Below are 20,157 nucleotides of genomic sequence, written 5' to 3'. Positions count from 1 at the left end.
GGTGGGGGCCTCAGCCTCCTGAGTAGCTGGGACTACAGGCATGTGCCACCACACTCTGCTAAATCTGCTATTTTTTTATTTTTTTATTTTTTGTAGAGATGGGGCTCTTGTTGTGTTGCCCAGGCTGGGAGTTCAGTTTTAGACACTTCTTATTTCTTAACATGAATTCACTTTTCACATTATGGATTTGTCTGATTGTTTCTTTGGGGTATTGTTCAGGTTCTTCCTCTCTGCCCTGTGTATTCTATAAACTGTAACTTAGATCTAGAGACCTGATTAGATTTAGGTTAAGCATTTTAGGGAGAAAACAACCCTTTATGAATGATGCAGCAGATCAGAGGCACATGATGTTTGGCTGGCCCATTATTATTGATGCTAAGTTTGATTACTGGTTAAGGTAGGATCAGCTAAATTTCTCCATCGTGAAATTATAGTTTTCATTTTGTGACTAGCAGGTAATCTGTGTGTGACCTTTGGCATTGTTCCCCATTAATCTTGCACGTAAGTTGTTTTATTGTTAAACTTTTTGTTATGGAAAATACCAAGCATAACCAAAGTAGAGAGAATAGATGACTACTGCTGTGTCCACCATCCAGCTTCAACCATTATCTGTAACTATTAACTAATAACTATGACTATTAACACATGAACTAGCTTGTTTTATTTCTATTCTTGTCCAGTACTCTTCCTTTTTTACCACTGAATTTTGTGAAGCAAACTCCAGGCATCATACCATTTCCTCCATAAATGCTTCAGAATGTATCTCCAAAAGGCCTTTCAGAAGTGTATTGGATGTGTGGTATCTGACTAGCAATTTTTAGGTGTGCTTACAAAGGAATGGAGAATACCATAGTTAGAGCTTTTTAGGTAGGTACAGTGGAAAGAGAAAGGAGCTGTGGATTTGAGATGGATCCATTTGTGATGAATCATGGATTTCAGCCTGGATTGGCAGAAGGAAAGGCCAAGAGGTGGCTGATATACTCTAGGAAAAAGGCCTAAGGGAACAGAGGCCTGGCCAAGTTCAGAGAGCAGCTGTCAGGTAGTGAATGGTCAAAAGATAGACAGGAAGGGAAATTGTGGTCAGACAGTAGAGGGCAAGGTTTTGAGATGGGTACGCCAGGTTCAGGGTTTGTGCAAAAGTGTGGGTGACTCAAGTGGAAGTGGAATTGATGTCAGGGAATCAGTTGTGAGCTAAGAGTTTTGAGTGGATCCATCCACATAGCTATTGAAGTTGCCAGGGTGGAGAGAGCGCCCTCAGGGAGAGCCTGGTGTGTGTGAGGGCAGGAGATGGTGCACAATTCTGTGAAGAGTTTGAAGATGTGGGGTAGTTGCTTTACTGCAGAGCTGGGGCACTGTGGAATCGGTTGAAAGCTTAGCCAGTGGTGGAAGAAGACAAGGTGAGAAAAGTGCAAGACAACCATTCTAAACAGTTTTAAATGTATTGTGCTCTGTTGGACATTGCTGCCCACTGGTTGGAGTGGAGGAAATTAATGAGGTAGGGGGTTAATACTGAAGAGGAAAAGAATTGTGATACATAGGTGGGGTTGAAGCAGGAGCCCTTGAGAGGAAATGCAGTGAGCCCCTCTTCCTGTTTTATCCCTGAGGGATCCCTTTGCATAGTAACCCCAATGCTTTTCTGGTTGGGGTTTGTTTTGGTAGGTAGTCTTTGTGAAGATCTGTGTTGCATTCTTTACACTTCACTTACAGGGTTTGGATGGGTTGAGTAGAGAAGGGGTGGCCGTCCCTGAGTGAAGCAGTGGTCCAGAGAACCCACCCCAGCATTTTCTTGCTGCTGGCGACCACTTCCCTCTTAAACATCTAGAAAGCCCTTGATGCCCAGGACTAAAGGTAGAGTGACCCCTTTTCTGAGCACATCATATTCCAAACTTTGTCTCTAAACTACCAGGGAAGGCATGCATGTCTCCTAGGTAATAGCCATCAAACTTAGAGGAAAGAAGCACATTGTAGGTGTCAGAGTTTTGGAGAGCTTTGATTTCAAAAAGTCGTGGATTTGTAGATGAGCTAGAAATTAAAACTTGAAATAATTCTTCTTCTCAAAGATAGTGTCTCTTGAAATAATTCTTTGAGAATGATCATCACTGAAGGAGATGAGATTAAAAGGGAGTTGAGAGAAAAGAAGGCCTACCTGGCCAAATGCCAGCATCTCCTGGATTCTGAAGCAAACAGGAGTCTGTGCCCATGGACGTTAGACGTGGGATGATTTCTCACTATCTTGCCAGACACCTGTGTTTAAGGGAGTGACTGACCGACACACTTGCTTACGTGTTTTTATGAGTTTTAGTGTTGAGAGAAAAGTTCTCCTCTTAGGCTATGTTTAGAGTTCACTTCCTGCTGAGTTTACTGGTGTGTGTGCAGCAGAAATGCCAGTTCTGGCCTGGCATGATGGCATGTGCCTGTAGTCCCAGCTACTCAGCAGGCTGAGGCGGGAGGATCGCTTGGCCCAGGAGTTCAAGTCCAGCCTAGGCTGGGAAACGTGTCCCTGTCTCTTAAAAAAAAAAATGAAAAAGAAAACTGTCAGCTCTGCTTTATGCATCTTCTCCTTGAGGATGATGATACTTACTTACATATAAATCTTGCCTTATAGCATAGAGCATATTTTCATATACATTGTTTCTTCAGATTTATATCCTGTCCTCTCAGAGGAGAAAATTGATGTGTCTGGCTGCAGTTGACATAAAAACACCCTACTGTACTTTCCATGGCATAGTGGAAGGAATGCGAATTTTGAAATCAGTCCTGGTTTGAATTGTGGCTCCTCCTTTTACTAGCTGTATGACTTGGGCCTTGGTTTTCCTGTTTGGTAAAATAGAATTGGTAACATTTACCTCATAGGATTGTGTTACAGTATTAAATGAATTAACATAATTAACACCTGGGAACAATGCTTGGCACACAGTAGATAACTGGTAAAGAGAGGCCATAGTCATGTTAATAACATAGAAACAGAAATAACATCAGCACCGAAGAAAAGGAGAGCATGCAGCTGTTCTAATCTTGTTTTTTTTTGTTGTTTGTTTGTTTGTTTTCTTTGAGACATTGTCTTGGTCTGTCGCCCAGGCTGGAGTGCAGTGGCGCAGTCAAGATCACTGCAGCCTTGAAGCCTCGACCTCCTGGGCTCAAGTGATCCTTCCGCCTCAGCCTCCTGAGTAGCTAGGACTCCAGAGGTGCACCACCATGCCCAGCTAATTTTTAAACTTTTTGTAGAGATGGGTTCTTGCCATGTTGCCCAGCCTGATGTCAAAGTCCTGGTTTCAAGAGACCTCCCGCCTTGGCCTCCCAAAGTGCTGGGATTACAGGCATGAGCCACCATGCCTGGCCTTCCTAATCCTGTTCATTAACGTGATTGCTGTGAATGGCCTTCTCCTTGGCAGTCAACATACCACTTTCTCAAAGGACAAAGTTATTTAAATGAGTTTCATGTTTTAATGAAATTTATATGGATATGTAAGGCAATATTGAATGATATAATAGTAATTTTTACTTTTTTTAAACCAAGAAGTATGTTTTATTTATTTATTTTTTTCTTGTTTTTACCACTACAGCGACAGTTTCCTTGCTATTTTTATAACCAGTGCTTATGCAGTCTTGGTTTTCTATAGCTCTCACAGAGACTGCAGACAAAATGCAGATGTTTTACATGAAATTGCAACTTAGTGAAAACCACTCTGTGAGGAGCTGAGCTAATGACATCTGTGTAGCTTTCAGGTGATCTGCTAGAAAATGGAGCCTAAAATATGCAGGGGCATGGATTTATATCATACCCCTTAGACAGTCTTCCTTAAATATCACTTCTTTCAGATGGAATTTTGTGAAGAGTTGGACAGTAATTCAAGACCCCGAGTTCTGTAATAGCTTCTATATTCTGTATTTCCAACTAAAGGCAGACCCATAGACTTTGGAAAACAGGTAAAAGGATTGACTTCCTACCAGCTAGAAATTGGAGCCAAGTTAGAGCCATGTAACTTGTATTCTTGCTTCTATTAGAACATTATTTTGTTTAATCCTTATACTAGCCTGGGAGGGAAGGGGGCTGACCTAACAGTTAATTCTTTCTTAAGTATCAGGTATTGGCCTTTCCTTCCATGTACAAATGGGAGGCTGGCTCAGTGCTGAGGGACCAGGTGAAGGAGTGCATTCCTCCCTTCTCTTCTCTGTCATCTCTTGGGTCACACATGCTAGGCAGGAGTTGCCCTTTGCCTTATCTGTGCGACTGCTCATGATCTGGAAATGACTGCCATCACTCCTAGATAACACCAGCCCTGGGCTTTTGCGGAATGAAGCCCACATTACAAATCATGGGATTATAGTGACCAGGGAGAGGTCCTACTTGGGAGGGAGTGATTCTTCCTGAAGGTGAAAAACAGCAGGGCAGGGAGGCGACTACCTTCATGAAGTGCTCCTTGGTCTGTATCCTCCTTTTCGGTTAGAGGCAGGAAGAGTGAGGGGAATTTCAGCCACAGAAGAGTTTGCGTGTGTGTCATTTTATCCTCTGGTGACTTTTCCTCTTCGCAGCAGTGATCCCAGAAAACAGGAAAAACTGCTATGATCACAATCAGTTTTTAATGTAAAGAAAAGCTGATGATGGTTTTTCATTGACACGGCAAATTCAGGATTTGGGGCCTGGGGATGAAGCTGACGGTCTGTGAAAGTGCAGGCAGCCAGCTCCTTGGATGAGGTCCAAGTCCAAAAGCCTAGGGGTAAAAGTAAAAGGATGGCTTAATTTCAATGGACACCCGTGGCATCTTAGATGTTGTACCTTCCTGTGGCTTCTTAGCAACTACTCTACCATGTGGCGGCTGTGTTAGAGGGGGTACTACATCCAGAAAGAAGACACGTGCCAGTAGAACTTCCATGCTGCATCATAGGTGGCCACAGAGCCATTACTTCCCTGTTTAGTTTCAAGTTGTAGATGTTTCGTATTTGCCTAAACACAAGATCGGCTTATGATTACCCGCTGGCTTACCAGCCCACTTTTTTTCTCACTCTGTTTCTTTTCTTTTTTTTTTTTTGAGAAGGAGTCTTACTTTGTCACCCAGGCTGAAGTGCAGTGGCACAATCTCGGCTCACTGCAGCCTCCACCTCCCAGGTTCAAGCCATTCTCCTGCCTCAGTCTCCCAAGTAGCTGGGATTACAGGCGTGCGCCACCACGCCCAGCTAATTTTTGTATTTTTAGTAGAAACAGGGTTTCACCATGTTGGCCAGGCTGGTCTCGAACTCCTGACCTCAGGTGACCCACCCGCCTCGGCCTCCGTAAGTGCTGGGATTACAGGCATGAGCCACTGCACCTACCCATCTGTTTCTTCAGCTTCTCATTATCTCACCAATTCTAGAGAAACAGAGTTGCTGGTTGTGTAGGCTAAACTAAGGCCACTGTGATGTCATTGCTTTTGTCTCCTTTGACACCCTTTTTTTTTTTTTTTGTTACTGGGTCTTGTTCTATTGCCAAGGCTGGAGTACAGTGGCACAGTCACCACTCACTGCAGCCTCGACCTCTTGGGCTCAAGTGATCCTCCTACCTCAGACTCCCAAATAGCAGGGACCACAGGCATGCACCTCCCTGTCCATGCCTGGCTAATGTTTTTTTTTTTTTTTTTCGGTAGAGATGGGGTCTCCCTGTGTTGTCCAGGCTATTGGTTACCTTCTTTATCATAGTTCAATCCTGAGGGTGTTTCCTTGGCCTTCTGAATGTGTATGAGGGATGGGATCTGAAAAGTCTCCTCCTCTGGGGCTGATCTTATGACAGACTTTATGAAGTTCTACCCAAGAATCTTTCCTTCGCTCACACACTTCGCTCACCAAAGGAGCTGGTCCTGTGGCAGGTTCAGAATCTGTGAAGTGAAAAACGTATTAAAATTTTGTATGGAATTTGAGAACTGTGTAGTTCTGTCTGTACTCTCTGCTCTTCAGTCACAAACAGCTCTCCCAGCTGTCCTCCTCACTCTTGCCTTCTTTGTTCTTGTTGCTGAAAATGCCCAACCTGGATGAAAACCTCTAAGCCTTGCTCTTCCTCCTGGCTCTTCGTTTCGGTAGAGCTTTTGTTATACTTCTGTCTATGATATCTCCCTCTTTTTCTGCTTACCTTTTCCGTTATTTCAAGTAAAACTCATCTGCTATTACCAGATTGTCCTTATTTTCTTTTTGCGTGAAATTAACTAGCTTTATTGATTTTTCTAATAAAAGAAATACATGCTCATTGAGGAATATTTGGACAATAACAAAAAATATTAGGAAGAAAGTAAAAGTCACATAATCCCCTATAGCATAATTATTGTTAATTTGTGGTGTATCTTGTCCTTTGGGATCTTCTTCATATGTGTTAACATATATTGCTTTTTCCCCCAAAGTGCCATCATTTTTCACTTATATTTTGTAACCTACTTTTCTGACTAATATTACTTGGATATATTCCACAGACAGTACATACAGAGCTACTCTATAATGTTTAATGCTGCATAGAATTACATTGTATGGATGAATTGTTATTTAGTTAACCTGACGATGGACTTTTGGGTTGTTTCTGTTATTAATAGCTATGTGGGCCAAAGCAGGAGGATTGCTTGAGGCTAAGAGTTTGAGACCAGCCTGGGCAACGTAGTGAGATGCTATTTCTAGAAAAAAGTAAAAAATTAGCTGGTGTGGTGCTACATGCCTGTAGTCCCAGCTTTTCAAGAGGCTAAGGTGGGAGGATCACTTGAACCCAGGAGTTGGAGGCTATGTTGAGCTGTGATTGTGCCACTGCACTCCAATCTGGGCAATAGAGCGAGACCCCATCTCTTTGGGAAAAAAAAAAAAAAAAAAAAGGTAAGTGGTGGCAAATATCTACATATCTGTATAGCTGTGCCTACTTGTATAACTTCAGGATAGTTATTGCTAGAAGTTTCTAAAAATGGAATTACTGGTTCGAAAGCTATGTAATATACTTAAATTATTTAACAATATCTTTTTTTTTTTTTTTTTTTTGAGACAGAGTCTCACACTGTTGCCCAGGCTGGAGTGCAGTGGCGTGATCTCGGCTCACTGCAAGCTCTGCTTCCTGGGTTCATGCCATTCTCCTGCCTCAGCCTCCCGAGTAGCTGGGACTACAGGCACCCACCCCCACGCCCGCCTAATTTTTTTGTATTTTTAGTAGACATGGGGTTTCACCGTGTTAGCCAGGATGATCTTGATCTCCTGACCTCGTGATCTGCCTGCCTTGGCCTCCCAAAGTGCTGGGATTACAGGCGTGAGCCACTGCGCCCGGCCAACAATATCTTTTAAAACTTGGAAAAGTATATGGAAAAGTGAAAGGTTAATATAATAAAAATCTATGTACCCATCATCCAAATTTCATAAATGTAACACTGTACCATATTGGCTTCAGATCTGTTAACATAAATTTTTTTTAAGTTTGACAAATATGTACTCATGCTTGGAGGCTCAGGAAAAAAAATTGGACAAATATGACTAAAGCTTTCTGCAGTCCTTTCCTCCTCCTGATACTGATAAAAGCCTCATTACTGTGCATATCTTATCCTTTTACATACATGTGTCCATAAATAATGTATAGTATTGTGTTTTAAAATGTTATACACATGATACTATTCTTGCAGGCAAACCTTTTGCAGGTTGATTTTTTTTCATTCAAAGTCATTTCTAAAAAGTTTTCATGTGTAAAATCATTTGGTTTAATTGGTGTATAATGCACCATTATATGGCAGTGAGAAATGGTTAAAGTCTAATTTTTGTGTATTACAGACACTATTGTAATGACTGTGCAAGAGTTTGTGTACGCCAGCTACCTAGGAATGGAAGTGATGTGGTGGGGAGTATGATTCTTTAGCTTTACTAGGTAATTCCAGATTGTTCTCTATAGTAGTTGTTATGTGTTTACCACCAATGTATATAAGTGTTCATTTCCCCTTATTTTTGCTAACACTTGGAGATCCCATGCTTCTCAGTATTTTCCAGTCTAAGTATGATATAATATCTCATCACTTTAATTTGCATTTTCCCAATTTATCAAAGAGATTGAGCAATATTTTATTTTCTTTGAATTCTCTGTTCATATCTTTTACTTATTTTTCAGTTGGGTTTTCGTCTTTTTCCTTTAGAAGTTCTTAATATGTTCTGATTTTTAATCACTTGTCAGTTATGTGCTCTGTAATTATTTTCTTCCTGTCTGTGGCTTATCTTTTAACTTTGTATAGGTTATCCTTGTGAGGTTATGTGTGTGTGTGTGTGTGTGTGTGTGTATTCCTAAATTGTTTTCCAGAAAAATTATACTGGTTTACAGAACATCCAACAGTATATGAGAGTGCCCAGCTTGCCACACCCTGCCTGACTCTGGGAATAGTTTTATCATCTTGCCCAGTGTAATAGACAAAAAGTGGTATTGCCCCTTCTTTGGTGGCTTTTCCTAGAACATTCCTACCTCTTTGTTATAGCCAAAAGCTGGCTTTTCCCTGAAGATCTTACTTTCCTTGTGACCCTCTCCAATGAAGCCACCTCACCTCCTCCCAACTCTCGCTCTGAACTCCCCACGTTGCTTCCAAGCCCGGGCTGGCAACCTTTCCCATGAGAAGTTAGTCCCTCCTCTGCTCACTCTTGGTGCCCTTACCTGCCTATTGACTTCAGGCTAACTGTTAACAACCTTCTTCATATGTCCTCTTTTTGGCATAATTAGGATTTGAGGATTCATACTGAGAATCCATCAATGCTCCGGCCTCACAGTCCCTCCATCCTTCCAACTCTAAGGACTTCGTCTTTATTCCTCTTCGGGTACCTTTGGCTTTATCACTTGGAGCAGTTTCACTTTTAGGATGCTGAACTCGGAGATTCCCTTCCCTTCCCTGGTCTCCTGTCTGTTTCCACCTCCCACTCCTTCGCTGTCCCCTCCCAAGAGCTGGCTCTCCAGCTCTTCTCTGCCTGTGTAGCCTCTTAGCCACCCTGGCCACTGCCTACTGATTTTTCTGTTCAGCCTGAGCTTCAAAGGTAGAAATTCTCATCCTGCACTTGCTGCTTACCTCAGTTCTCTCTCTCCCTTGTCCCTCCTGTGATCATTAGCCCTCGTGGACCACTTGAACAGATTTTTCTGCCGTAGCCCCTAGACCTCTGAGTATTGCTTCATCTTTCAGAAGCATAATCTCTGACCCATCATTCTTTTCTCAGAAAACTTCTGTGATTCCCCAGAGAAAAACTAAGATCCCTGATTTGGCTCTCAGAGGCCTCTAAGAGCCGACATGTCTCTGTCTTTCCAACTCTCTTTCTCCCTGGTCTACTTTCAATTAAACTCCCATCAGACTGACAAACACTTTGTTGTCCTTCATACGTCTTCTGCTTTCCTGCTTCCAAGCCCTTGTGCATGTAGTTCTATCTGTGTAGGAATACCCCTGTATTCTTTTGCCATTTGATCTTCCAGGCCTAGCACAAGGGTCACCCTCTCTGTAAAGTGTTCTTGATCCTTTATTTGGAAGTAATCTCCTTCTACCTAAGCTTCAACATTGTATCTCTCTAATGGCATCTCTCTAGTGGCACTTAATTTCATCTTTCTAATGGCACTTAAAATAGTCTTCCTGGTATTTATGAGATTTATATGTCTATTGTATTCACCCTACAGAGTGGAAGCTCCTTGAGGATGGACCCATACCTGATGCATTTGGTGTCCAAACAGCACTAAACATATTGGCTTATGCATGGTTGGTGTTTGGTGTATATTAGCTGAATGGATGCATGACTGTAAGTATGAATGGAAGGAGGAAAGATGGTTGTCCTGGCTTCCAGGAACCATAGTTACAATTTCATACTGCCCCCCTTCTCCTGCTCTAGCGAGAAAAGAATCAGACTCACAGCTTGACCCAGGCCAACACAGGAATAGTTCAAGCTCCTGGCCCACACTGCACCTGGGGGAGCCTGAAGCTTGTCCTACCGTGGGAGCAGGAGCCTTGAGTACCAGGAATTTCAATGGGATGTTTTTGAGTTTAGGAAGTTAGGCTGGCTGCATTCCATGACATGCAAGGGAGAGGATTTTGGAGTAGCACAGAAAATGGAAACCTTGGCCGGGCGTGGTGGCTCACGCCTGTAATCCGAGCACTTCGGGAGGCTGAGGCGGGGCGGATCACCTGAGGTCAGGAGTTCGAGACCAGCCTGACCAACATGGAGAAACCCTGTCTCTACTGAAAATACAAAATATTAGCCGGTGTGGTGGTGCATGCTTATAATCCCAGCTACTCAGGAGGCTGAGGCAAGAAAATCACTTGAACCCGGGAGGTAAGAGGTTGTGGTGAGCCGAGATTCCACCATTGTACTGCAGCCTGGGCAACAAGAATGAAACTTCGTCTCAAAAAAAAAAAAAAAGAAAGAAAGAAAGAAAGAAAAGAAAGAAAAAGGAAACCCCGAGCATGCTTTTGGCAGAGGTAGGTGCAGAGAGGCTGGAGAGCATGGTAACCCAGAGGGGAGGGTTCTGTTTTTACCAAGTCACACCACTTTCCTTCCTCCATACCTGCTAGGGCTGAGCCTCAGTTGAATGTGAGAAAAACGCTATGGGTGTGATATTTGCCACTCTCTCTGCCTTGGGACCTTGAGTCATAGTCTCATTCTTCATCTCAAACAGTCTTCTGTCTCATTCTGTCCAGCTACTGTTTGTCCTTTACAGTCTGGCTCACATTTCCTCTCCCACAGAAGCCCCGTCCAGAGCTGCTCTGTCCCCTCCACCACTCCATTGTCCTGTCTTTCTAGTTTGTGTCCCACACTTGCATCGTTTGCTGTTGTGTCTCAGTGCCCTACATTCGTCTGTGAGCTCCCCACATGTAAGAATCACATCTCATGTTTTGTTCTCTCAGCTAAAACAAAGTGGTGATCAATAATTACTGTCAATGTTATTAGGGAGCCTGCTATTGGAACTTGGAAGATTATCAGTAGCAGAAAAACTGAAGTGGGAATGGAAAGACGTGAAAGTAGAACTTAGCCTGGGCTAGTTCTCCAGAGTCTTGAGTCTGGGGAGGAACTGCCCTTTCATCTTTACCATGGGTTTCTTGAATTCTGGCTTCTGAAGCTCTGCCTTTCGACAGTAATCAGCATTTAGGCAGGTGACAGAATCAGGTGTTCAGGGTGTGCCCTCCAGGGAAGAAGAGAGAGAGGTGATGGCCGGCACCCCATGCAGCAGTGACTAATGTGGGCCAAACTGGCACCATGCCTCCCAGCCCCCGGGTACGTGGGAGCTGTAGGCACACATGGTAGATTGGAGCTGGAGGGATCATTTACCAGCCCTTCCCTGAGCTGGAAGCAGGCGGGGAGCAGCAAGCCAATTGGCAGACTTGCCTTTTCTGCCTTAAAGTACTTTGTTTCTGTTGCTAACAACAGACATGGGTAGTATAAATAAAACACAGACACACAGGCACATAGACACATGTGGAGACTGAATATTTGAGCTGTCAGGGGCAGGGGGAGGGTGGATGTGGACGGGGACTGAAATGTGTGGCTAAGCCTCTCAAGATAGTGTGCACTAGGTCTTCTCTTCAGCCTTGGAGATGGGTGTAGTGTAAGGGGTGGCTGTGTGGAAGGCCCCCTGAAAGCAGTCAAGTAGGAAGTGATACTGTCTGGATGCCACAGGCTTCAAAGACTAGGTGCTCGTTATGGCTGGATGCAGTCCTCATTAGGCAGACTCTTTCGAGCTAGTTGCTGGTGATCCAAGGGCCAATGGTAACTTCTTTCCTTCTGTTCTGCCCTTTCAAGGCTTGACTCATTGATCCCCGTTAGTGCTCACATGTGGTATAATGGTCAGCAGCTGCTGTGGCCTTTCTGGCTGACCTGAGCTGTACAAGCCAGCATGCCTAAATATGTGACTGTTGTTTTGGGTAAGCTCCTGAAGGATGTGAGCTTCCTTAGTAGAGACTGAGACCCATTCAGCCTCTCTGGAAAAGATGGTCTTAGTAGGAGGCTGAATAGTTCATGCTATAAAAAGCAACAGCTAAGTCACATGTGAGATAAGCTTATTCAGAGACTTGAGGTTCAGGTAGATTACAGGGAGGATGGATGATGAGGAAGACTGTGAGTCTCCACTGCTGGAAATATAAGTAGGGATGGGTTAGGTGTTCTCTCTTTTTTTTCCCTGGGTTGAACATTATATTCCCTGGTATCTAAGATTACATCAAGAGAGCCTCTTCTGGTTCTGGGAAAAAGAATAACTGTATTGATAGGAATTTTAGAGCACTCCCAATGTGTGTAGCTTTGAGCACTTGATTCACAGATATCTCTGACACTTGGGATGATCATCTGATGGTGTGGGCATTTGGAGTAGCTCTTAGCTGGTCTCTCTTTTCCATCTTACTGCTTTCTTGGACCATATGTGACAGGCCTAAGGAATGTCCAACAGGAGGTACCTTTGGTCCATATGAATACCAAGTCAGTAATAGTTCCAATCTTCTAGAAGCAGTGAGACGCCACTCCAGTCTGAGGGTGAGACATGAAAAATATGTGGGCCTTTTCCCCAGTCATTGATATAGCAACATTTGTCTCCCCTGGGCAGGGGGAAATGAATTAGGATTACCCTCTGGGTTGAGCTTACAAGTCTGTCTTAGGATCTCTTTTTTACCGAGGTAGCCCTCTTGGCTATCCAAGGTGGGGTGCCTGGGTGGGGGTGGCACACTGGAAGCTCATAGCAGCTGCTTCTCTCCAGGCACTGTAACTCACTAGCAGCTTAGGACTAGATGTGAGGCATGTATCACGTGGCATTTGTTACTACAGGAGTTAAAGGACCAAAGTAATCTTAAATGGGTTACCTATTCTTATAATTTAGAAGGTATGCAAGATTATACCTATAATAATAGCAAGCCCATTCACTCTCTCATAAGCTTTCTTAAATAAGAGAGGGAAGGGTGGAGTTACTCCTATGGTCAGAATTGCAGATTACCCTTTTTCCCTAAAGAGGCCTAAGGGTTGGCTCCCATGTGACCCCCATCATCTCTGTAGTCAAGTAGCATCAGGCCTAGGAACCCCTAAGGAGATCATTCTCTCTCTGTTCCCTGGCTTAGGGCAGGGATGTGAGGCTTTTGCCTGGCACTAAGGAGAGGTAGTTGACCATGGCTATTATTGAATGAGGTTGGACCCAGCCTAGCTGATAAAATTCTAAAGCAAGATGGGGCAGTGCTACCCAAGGTGGTCACAGAGAATGAAGGTTCTTATAATAGAATATATTCTAAGCCACTAGGCCGTGGTGGCTTCTTTGAAAGGTTGAAGTCTTGAAAGGTAAGAAGACCCCATCTAGCTGGGTTTCATGTGCTGCCCTCACCTTACCCCTACAAGTGGCACAGCAAGCTGCCTGCGATGTCTGGTGGTTGACTCTGCTGCCTGCATGGTTCAGGTGAGCAGAGCAGTTCATGTTGAAGCCCCTCCCACCGGTCAGGAGCCTGTAGGACTGTGTTGTTTTCCTTCCTGTGTCCTCAGTGACTGGGCTAGTGTCTTGCACAAGGCAGGTGCTTGGTCATTGTTTGTGGATTGAATGGCTTCTCAGCCTGAGCTTCAGGGGACCTTGGCCTGGGCCTTGGAGCATACTAGGAGTTGGATAAGCAGAGAGGAAGAAGGAGAGCACTCCAGGCTGCCAGTGATTTGAGCCCAGAAACATGGGGCAGAAATGGACACGTGGACATGTTTGGAGCAGAAGGTGTCCTGCCTGGAGAGAGGTAGGTGTGTGTGTGTGTGTGTGTGTGTGTGCGCGCGCGCGCGTGCGCGCACGTGCGTGTCTGTGTGCATGTGCAAGTCTGTGTATCTCTGTGTGGGCAGGTCTGGGGAGGGTGGTAGGGCCAGGGCTGGCTGAAGAGGGAAGGAAGAATTGGAAAGTGAGATTGGTTGGAACCAATTAAGGGAACCTGAGTCTGGTGTGATTGGCGGTTAAGGAGCCCAGAAGAATGACATGATGATACTGACATTCCAGGATGCTTAGTCTGTCACTTATGAGCAGAGAGGACTGGAGGTAGAAGAATAAAGGGGAGCTTGTCATACAATAATACTGTTTAACATTTATTTAGTGCCTCCTATGGGCTGGCACTGGATAAAGTGCTCTCTGTATAACCAGAGACCATTGCAGTAAACTAGGTATGAGGTGATAAAGTGGAGAAAAATTTCAAAGAAGATGACATTGTTTCTTCATATTTGGCTATATTTGGCTCTTATTTGGTTAAAGAAGAAATGGCTCCAAGGACGTCTTCCTCCTGGGTCCTGCTTCCGGCAGCGTGTCCTTGAGCATGGGGCTGTTAATCTGGCCTGGTTGGAGCTGCTGAGATTTTGCATGCTCCCTGCCAGGAACCAGTGTCCTTGGGTCTCAGCTGGGGTGTGTCCCCACCCCAGCCATCTGGAAGGTCAGAGGAATTAGCCACTAGAATGTGCCCATTAGTGGCTTTGAGGGGTTACAACCTGTCAGTGGAATCTGAAGCCCGGGAACTGCCTCTCTCCCAGGGCTTTTTGGAGTTGGAACAGCCTGACTGTTCTAGCACTGACTGCTCCCTTATTTGGACAGTAAATTTTCAGGGTGAGATTGGACTTCTCTTTTGTCTTGGGAGAGTTTTTTGTTTTTTTAAGTATTTGACATTCTTGTGAGTGATTTTCAAGGAGATAACACGACATCAGAGCTATACCTTTCTTCACCTGATTCTTTCCTTGGTCTCTAGTCCATCCACTTATAAGACCCAGATGGGGGCCAGGCACAGTGGCCCACGTCTGTAATCTCAGCCCTTTGGGAGGTCAAGGCGGGCGGGTCACTTGAGGTCAGGAGTTCGAGACCACCCTGGCCAACATGGTGAAACCCCGTCTCTATTGAAAATACAAAAATTAGCCAGGTGTGTTGGTGGGCCCCTGTAATCCCGGCTACTCAGGAGGCTGAGGTGGGAGAATCTCATGAACCTGGGAGGTGGAAGTTGCAGTGAGCCAAGATCACGCCATTGCACTGCAGCCTAGGCAACAGAGAGAGACTCTGTCTCAAAAAAAAGTGAAAATAATAATTAAAAAAAAAAAACGAAAAAAATAAGAAGACCTAGATAGGGTTCCTAGACTGCCCACTCATCTCAGTCTCCCCAGGGGAGAAGCAAGTAACATCATCCTATAGACAAGAGGCAAGGTGTCTGAGGCCCCGGGGTTGGGCTTCAGGGCCTGGGGGCAACTTCCTGCCCAGCCTTGAGACATATGTCTTGGTTTTGGGGAACTTGCTGTGCCCCTTGACTTGTGGATTTGTAGTTTATCAGCCCAGCTTCATGTGGGGCCAGGATGGGAGCAGGGCACAGCCAGGAGTTGGGGTGGTGGTGATGAGATGGTGGATGGTAGTGGTGCTACTGAAGGGGAAGAATCTTCTGTGGCGATTTTGAGAGCACACTTCCTCTCTGTCAGAAGCGCAACTCTGTCAGCTTCTGGCTTTCCTTCTGATGGATCCCTGTAACCCTTAGGAAAGTCATTCAGCTAATGGCAGTGACACTAGATTCTAATGGAGGAAGGGAAAGCAGGAAGGAGAACATGTTTCTGTCAACAAAGGTGTGCTTTCACTAGTCAGAACTTGCTATAAGGCAGCCTTCAGCCTTTCAGGTGATTACTGTGCTTTGGGATTAAAGTGTCCTGCCGTTTCTGGAAGAGACTGCTAGTCATAAAGACAGGTAGGGCTGAAGGGTGGAGGTAGGGTCTCCAGCTGCAGTTGTCAAGAACCCAACGTGAAGGCTGACTGAGCAGAGAAACTGCTGCTGCCCAGAAAGAAAGCACTTTTAGCAGTGGTAAGTCCTTTGCATGCACTATCTTACTCAATCTGTACAACAGCACTTCGTGGTTGGAACTGTTCTCTCCATTTTACAGATGAGAAAACTGAAGCTTACAGAGGGTAGGCAACACATCCAAAGCTTCATAGCTGGTAGAGGCAGAGTTTCATACCCAAAGATCACCCTTTTCCCATTGTTTCTTACAGAGGAAACTGTGATAAGCCATTATTTTTTATAAATGTTACATTTTAGAATAGTTTCAGATTTACAGAACAGTTGCAAAGATAGTACAGAGAGACAGAGAGTTCCCATAGACCCTGCAAGCCATTAATTTTTTTTTTCCTCCTTTTCTGGTCCATTTTATGAGAATTCATTGGGGGTGGGGAACAGATTTGGAATGAGGACATTTTTTCCAGAGATTCCAACTTGGTAATTTTTTTCAGTAGGATTTTTTGAGCGTCCATCAGACTACATTATTTCTTCCCCAGTTCTGCTCTGCCTCAGCTCTGCTGGACTGGGCTGGGCCTGGCTTTGACATCTAGTTTCAGAGTCAAATGCCCCACTTTCTGACTCTGTCTCAATAGGGTCAGATGGTAATTGGGTTTCCGAGAGTTAGGAAGGCAGGTAGGTGTGGGGAGGATCTTTAGCAGCTGGGCTTCTGGATACTCTTCTGTCTCTGATGGGGCTATGACAGGGGAGTGTTAATATTTTCAGCTCATGTTTGATGGCATGGAGCCAGAGCCCTCCCGAGGGTCAGAGGCAGCGTCTCTGGGGTGAGGCCTGTTTGCTTGGATGCCCTCGAGTCTGTCCTTGTATGGTGCCAGAGTGGCTCATGGTGGTCGCTGCTGTGGGCCCTGGCCGTGGTCTGCAGGCAGGCAGGCTGGCTGGCTGTAGGCAGGAGAATATCCCTAGGTAGCTGGTGTGCTTTGCTTTGGGTCCCAGGCACATTCTCCATTTAAGGGAAAGGGGTCTGCAGTCTTCTTGGCTCTGGGTGTGAATGGGCTGGCCTGAAGTCTGCTCATGGCCTTTGCTGGATGTGCTTTTTCAATGAGATCATTCCAGAATTACATTCCTATGAAATTATATTTCACTCAAGATGTAAAGCTGGATTTGTGTAAAAGCACTGGCACTAAAACTCAGGGCTCAGAGCGGGGCAGAAATGAGAAGAGGGATAAACAGCTCTTCTTTAGGAGGAGGGGAAGGAAAGACAGAAAGAGAGAGAAAACAGTTGTTAAAGGATTTTGCATTGAAAATTGGTGCGCTGTAAGCATACCCAAGGAGTTGGGATTGCCACTCACCCCTGGAAAGGCAGGCTTGATGTTTGTTGTCCCAGCTGCCTGCCACCCCCAGGCAGTTTGGAGGGAGATGCCCTTGAGGCTTCAGTGTGTAAGGTTGCTGGAACGCTGGAGCCGCCCAGGTGTCCCCTGGTCATGGCACTCTAGGCCTATCCCTGCCTTTCTAGCCTCATTTTGCACCATCCCATATCTAATTTCTTTCCCTGTCTCTGTTTCCTTCTCTCTCACACACACCCACACTCTCACACTCACTCTACTATTAGTATGATATATTGCTACTCACAACACTCCTGACACCAAATGTGTGGGGTTTTTTCTCTCACATTTGCCAATTTGCCAAACTTTCTGGACACCAACTGGGGTTTCTTACAATTTAATTCAATTTTGACACTACCTGGAGCTAGCATAATCTCCATAGATTAAGTGGGGACAAGACTGTCCCCACTTCAGATGCTAATCACAAGTCAGGGCCACCCATACTTTTGACCAACTCACTATAAAGTTGGAGGGATCGGTTCCCACAACCCCCTCCTCAGGTTTGGTAATTTGCTAGAATGGCTCACAGAACTCAGAAAAACAGTTGACTTACTATTAACCCTACTATTAGTATTATATTACTATTAGTTTATTAAGGATACAACTCAGGAACAGCCAAATGGAAGAGATGCATAGGGCAAAATTTTGGTGTGTGTGTGTGTGTGTGTGTGTGTGTGTGTAGAGCTTCCATTCCCTCTCAGGGTGCACCACCCTCCCGGCACCTTGATGTGTTCACCAACCCGGGAGCTCTCTGAACTCAGAAGTTTTGGGTTTTTATGGAAGTTTCACTATGTCGGCATGCCATATTTTGAATGTCCCCTCCAAGACTCATGTTGAAATCTGATTGTCATTGTGATGGTATTAAGAGGTAGGACCCTTCAGAGTGATTGGGCCATGAGGGCTCCACCCTCATGAATGGATTAATGCTGTCATTGCTAGAGTTTGTTTCTGATAAAAACAAGTCCGGCCCCCTCCTGCCCTCTCTCTCTTTTGTGTGTACTGTTGTGCCCTTCTGCCTTTCTGCTATGGGATGATGCAGGAAGAAGGCCCGCACCAGATTCAGCCATCAATCTTAAGACTTCCAAGCCTCTGGAACCGTAAGAAATAAATCCTCACTTCATTAGCATAAATTCAGGTATGGTAGAGGGACTTGTTATGAATCACAAAGTAGGCTCCTCTCACCCCCATCCCTCAGGAAATGCCAAGGGTTTTTGAAGCTGTGCCCAGAACTGGGAAGAAGGCTCTCTCTCTCTCTCTCTCTCTCTCTCTCTCTCTCTCTGTATATATATACACATATATATATTCCTTATTATATGTAGAGAGATATCTATATATATTCATTATTTTATATATGGAATACATAGATATATTTATCTCACAGTAACACACATGTGCACACACGCACACACACACACACTCACAGCCCCTGCATGCTGGTAGTGTGAGATTGTATACCCCATACTCTATATGATTCTGCTTTGTATTCCTTTGTATATACTGTTCCCCATAGCGTGGAATGTCCTTTTCTCCCCTTGTCTGCTGAGAGCACTCTAGTTGCTCTAAAACCCATTTTAGCTTTGCCTCCTCTGAAATCTTTTGTGCTGCCTGCTGACGGTTACTTTCTGGCGTCTTTGTGCTGCCACAGCTCCTTGTGCATCCCGCTGCTCTTGCACATTTCATTTGATATGTTTTCGAGGAAAAGCCTCTAGTATGGGGCTTAGTAAAGGGTAGGTGCTTGTGAAATGATTGTTGAAGAAAGAAACTAAATGAATGAAGAATTGGATCTAAGTGAAGGTCATGTACTGCAGGCAGGGCAAACCACAGAAAGGTGTCTAACATGGCATAAGTGCTATCAGAGAGGCTAGGAGATGAGTGTCAGACTGGCAGAAAAGGTGGGGTGTGCGTACTTCCCTGTGCACACAAGTATGGAGTCGTTCGTGGAGTGGCAAGATAGAGTCTGTGCAGTGGTGCACACCTATCATCCCAGCTACTTGGGAAGGCTGAGGCAGGAGGATCATTTTAGCCAGGAGTTCAGGGCTGCAGTAGCTATAATGATGCCCCTGCACTTCAGCCTGGGTGACAGAGCAAGACCCTGCTCATAAAAAGATTTTTTAAATAAATTAGAAAAAAGAAAAAAAGCCCAGTGAGTTCTGGGTTCCATAGACTGACTATAGGGATTAGGTCTGGACTCACTCAAGGTGAGATGAAACTATTTTCTGAGCAAAATGCAGCAGGATAGAAGGAAAAGAGCTGTAGCTTTGGAATTGAGGATTCTGGGTGGTGGTGATTATACTGTTAATAATGATAACATAGTCCTAACTATGAGCCAGACACTATTCCAGGCACTTTACATATGTTAATTCATTTATCCTTATAATGTCTCTATGAAGTAGTGACTACTAATTGTTGATTTATGAAGATTGCAGAGCAATTCTGGACTTGGTTCTACTCTTACTAATTGAGTGAACCGAGGGCAAGATGCTTAGCCTTCCTGAGCCCCAGCCTCCTCCTTTGTGAAATGGAGAAGATACCTTTTGCATTTAATCCTATTGGGCTTATTGGTAGACTCAAATGAGATAATACGTGAAAGTGTTTTTGAAAAGTATAAAGTACTCTAAAGTACTTTGCATTGGGGAAGAAGGGAAACTTGCAAAGTAATTGTAGTTTAGATACTGGGCTCATACTTAATGCAGATGCTGCTCTGAGCATGGGCCACAGTTGCCCTTCACAGCTACACAAGGTGGGCTACTGGCAGTCTCTTTGATTAAATGCCAGGATTTGAGCTGCTGTTAAAAAAATCAAGAAATCTTTTTTTGCCCCTTTCTTTCTTTTTTATGTTTTGTAGAGATGGAGCCTCACTATGTTACCCAGGCTGGTCTTGAACTCCTGGGTTCAGGTGATCTGCCTGCCTTGGCCTCCCACAGTGCTGAGACTACAGTCATGAGCCACCGCACTTGGCCCAAGAAATGAGTTTTATTGGGGCCAAATGTATATGTGAAATGTCATAAGGGACAGATTTTTTGTGCTAAACCAGTCCTTCTTTCCCAGCCAGGGGAACAGTGGTAAAGCTGGGTGGTAGGCATTTGCATGGGGGAGGA

At 44.7% G+C, this 20,157-nt stretch overlaps 1 protein-coding gene and 1 long non-coding RNA gene across 25 annotated transcripts in view, besides 1 other annotated feature; one reads left to right on the top strand and one right to left on the bottom strand.

Moving 5' to 3' along the window:
- Positions 1 to 20,157, top strand: part of DENND2B (DENN domain containing 2B) — a 217,600-nt gene that overhangs the window by 121,084 nt on the left and 76,359 nt on the right. The gene's annotated exons all lie outside the window — the stretch shown is intronic.
- The window catches only part of DENND2B-AS1 (DENND2B antisense RNA 1), a 41,499-nt gene that overhangs the window by 20,409 nt on the left and 933 nt on the right, over positions 1 to 20,157 (bottom strand). The window contains exons 2-4 of the long non-coding RNA NR_120590.1: positions 5,660 to 5,849; positions 4,406 to 4,712; positions 2,582 to 2,814 (exon numbers count right to left, since the gene is read on the bottom strand). This is a non-coding gene — a long non-coding RNA (DENND2B antisense RNA 1). The remainder of the gene's footprint in view (positions 1 to 2,581; positions 2,815 to 4,405; positions 4,713 to 5,659; positions 5,850 to 20,157) is intronic.
- Positions 15,257 to 15,436: an enhancer, noted in NCBI's record as "active region_4392". NCBI's record gives its function as "activates an Ori minimal core promoter by ATAC-STARR-seq in GM12878 lymphoblastoid cells {active_cell/tissue: GM12878}" and the evidence as "EXISTENCE:reporter gene assay evidence [ECO:0000049][PMID:35858748]".

Source organism: Homo sapiens, chromosome 11 (assembly GCF_000001405.40).
Source record: "Homo sapiens chromosome 11, GRCh38.p14 Primary Assembly".
Taxonomy (NCBI): Eukaryota; Metazoa; Chordata; class Mammalia; order Primates; family Hominidae; genus Homo; species Homo sapiens.
The sequence above is the reverse complement of the archived record's forward strand: the minus strand, read 5'-3'. Positions and strand labels throughout refer to the sequence as shown.